Below are 3,556 nucleotides of genomic sequence, written 5' to 3' on the forward strand. Positions count from 1 at the left end.
AGTGACCTGATTATTCCTGGGCACCAGACAAGAACCTGGGCACCAAGAGGGCACTAAACTGGCTAACACTTAAGCCGTCTATGGAAGGCAGAGCTAAAAGAGCACTGTAAGATGCCCACTGGGGCTTCGAAAGTCGCAGGTACCCACCCCTAGGAACTACCATGGTGCCTGAGCCCAAAAGCACTCTCCCCAGCTCCTGCACCTGCCCATCTGTGGGCTCCCTCTCTCCAGCAGATGAGCCACACCCCTGTTGCATATCCTGTGATGGGGGTCAGGGAACTCTCCTGTTTCAATTCTACCTATTTATTTCTGTTGCCTCACTTGCTGCTACCAACATAAGGGTATTTCTTTTTCTCAGTTTCTACCAATATAACGTTATGGTAGTACAAAGAAAAATAAAATGAGAAAAATTTCTAAGGCCTTATAATGGGCATTTGTAATCTACATGATGCTTTACTATCCCATGTTTTGGGCATTGTTTATTTGCTTCTGCCAGTCCAACAAGGGAATGCCAAGCCCAGTGAATTAGCTTTACCTAGGATTGTTTTGGGAAAATTCTTGCAGGAACCTGGTAAGCTTCACGATTTTGCCTGGACACATCTGGACACTCTTCTTGCTGGACATGTGATTGCTTCTCCTATCCCCAAAATTCTGTGCATCTTCTTTTCCTTTCCCACCTCTCTTTGCTTCTTCTGCAGTAGCTGAAGAACTATAGGGCTACAATTGAAGATTTAGCTTTTGCTCCTCTTACAGAGATATTGTTTAAGGAAACGGACAGCAAAAGATCAGAACAGATTTTCAGATTATTTTGGCATGTCAAAATAGAAATTTTTAGAAGCACTGGGTATCATTAGTCTGGATTTTGAAACAAATGTTGTCTGGAATTATAGAGTTCAGAGTCACCTGCAAAGAGTTGATAGTCGAAACCATGCAAATGGATAAAATTCCTCAAGGTAAGTATGCAAAAGTAGAAGAGTGAAAAGACAATAGAACAAGGGACTCTGTAAAGAATGAGTGGATCAAGAGGTTTTTGTGAGAAATAAAAATAAGGAGTGGTGTGTGGTTTAAAAATTGACAGAAGAACTAAAAAAGGATAATGTGGCAGAAACCAATGAAAGAAACAAACACGCACAAAAACAAAATACAAAATTTTAAGAAGGAACGAAGTCAACAGTGTCCAAAAAAATTAAAAATGTCACCTTAATATTAAACTGCTTATCTATGCAAATATTCTGGGCTAATTTATCAATCATTTATTTCCAAAATTTCTTTTCATTTGGAGCTTTTAGTCCAGTTTAGTTCAATAAAGCACAAAGGACAAAATGGAAAATGATTACAAAGAAAAAGCACTGCAATGTTTCTTTATTGTTTCCATACTTAATATTGATCTATGGTGTGCCAATGACAAACTTCTCTGGCCCATAGAGCTCACTATTTGTTAAGCATTAGTATTGATGCAACAAACCTTCTCTACTGTTATAATAATTTCTTTTATGTATCATAAGAAGCATAGAAAGTTAATACTTACACATGAATAGAGTAGATTAATGACATCCCCGTTTTTTCAGTATGTCATATGTTTATAAATATAGAACCTTCATATGTTAGTCAATCATTTGTCTTTATTTTCTGCATTCGCCCTACAGTTAAGTACAAAAAAATTTAATACAATTTTAATGCTGCAAAACCTATGTAAACATTTTCCTGCTGCTATCAAGGTAGATATTCCAGTAAATCAAATTTCTCTGCATTAGGTAAGAGTTTAAATGCTGATTTTATGAAGGGCCATTATGGATACATATCAGATATGCATGATTGTTGTGTAAAATTGATGCGTTAAAAAGAACCTCTGCATTTAAACAAAAAGAGAGATATATCTTCATAAAAATTCTTGTGAAACAGGTCTATTGTATTACAGAAGTACAAATAATAACAGACTTTATGACTTGTCATAAAATATTTATTGTACACATTTCTTCTACATCATAATAAAATGTTTATTCCAAATTCAATATGTAAAATTCATACAAGTATGATTTAGGCTACTTACATAATTCCTAAATTTAACCTTTAAACATTTCATGGAAATCTTATAAGTATCTGTATAAACTCTCACATTTTGGGGTACCTAAAAAGTGATAGCATTAACAATGTTGTGTGATAATATGTATATGCTGGATTAGCTTAGTGAAGGCAGTTGATATGATTCTGCACAAGAAAAATAAAGAAAAATTCTGTAGGTTCAAAATGTCATTGGAGAGTTGATCACTCAAACAATATTATTTTTTAAATCTTTGATGAAACAATGCTGTGTTCATCAAAGTGGGTAAATCTTTTATCAATTATAGTGAGACTCTAATATAAAATTCCAGTATAAATAGATGTGAATTGAAAAGAAATCACTGAAAGTCATCCATGCTGCCCTTTGTCCCTCCCTGTTTATTTAAGAACAGCTGCAAGGAGCAGGCCTATGGCTATGCTGAGGAGTTTTGTTGTCTCTATAACTGTATGTAATTGTTATGTCAACTTATGCCATGCAATCATAATAATAAAATAAATTTTCATAGCAGCTTCATTTTGGAATTAATTGTAATAGAGTAACTATTTTGATTTGTGGTCACCAGAGAGTAAGTTTACCAAATTGTTTTCAGTATGGTGGAATTAATAGCCATGTCTAAAATCATCATATCAATTTTTAGTTGAAATCAATTAAATGTCAGGTGAAGAAAGAGTTTGTGCAAATAGTTCAAATTTTGAGTGAGAATAGTAAGGTAGAATCGATTCAACCACCATTTCTGTTGGAAATTACAACATCACTAGGTGACAGGAATTTTTCAGCTCCATTGTAATCTTATGGGAACACCTCATAAATATCGTGTGTGGTTGACCGACATGTCACTATGCAGCACATTACTGTATTTTTATTGAGGACTTATAGTGTGCTAGGCAGTATCTATGTGCTTTTGTACATTATTTTTCTCCATATAATACACAGAGGAAGATAATGAGGTAGATGTTAATATCTCCACAGCTGAACGTTTCAAATTCAAGGAAGTTACGTAACCTATTCAAGATCATGCAGCTAGTATGGGAGGATCTGAGTTCAAACAAGGTCTGTCTGACTGTAGACCCAAACCAATGCTTTCTGACTCCAAATCAGAACTCTTTCAAGAATACCACTCTAGACAAATTATTAAAAGGTGAAACATGCAAGAGCTAATTTGGTTCCTTTTAAACCCTAGCTTTCTAGTACTGATGAGCAAAGAAGGATTTAAGATGGAGTTCAAGCTTCAGGGCTTCTTCCCTGCAGGGACATTTTCTTAAGGAACTCCTGAATCTCATCTCAATTGTACAAGATTTAGGCATTTTAAGTCTTAATTATAACCATAAGACTGAATCCTTCATAAGTTAAAAAAAAATCAAACCAAGGAAGAAGATCATTCATGGAAAAAAAATCCAGAGGAAAATTACCATATTGCCATGAATGGTTAAGGATTTGTCAGTTTCTTACAAGTGGCAGGGATAACAGAGTTTGGAAGGGAGTCCAGCCTAGACC

At 35.0% G+C, this 3,556-nt stretch overlaps 1 annotated feature.

The window, feature by feature from the left end:
• Nucleotides 3,184–3,353: an enhancer, noted in NCBI's record as "experimental_9048 CRE fragment used in MPRA reporter constructs". NCBI's record gives its function as "activates a minimal promoter by MPRAs in K562 erythroleukemia cells, with activity observed for both the introgressed and non-introgressed 1:80745641 variant alleles {active_cell/tissue: K562}" and the evidence as "EXISTENCE:reporter gene assay evidence [ECO:0000049][PMID:34662402]".

This window comes from Homo sapiens, chromosome 1 (genome assembly GCF_000001405.40).
Source record: "Homo sapiens chromosome 1, GRCh38.p14 Primary Assembly".
Lineage (NCBI taxonomy): Eukaryota > Metazoa > Chordata > Mammalia > Primates > Hominidae > Homo > Homo sapiens.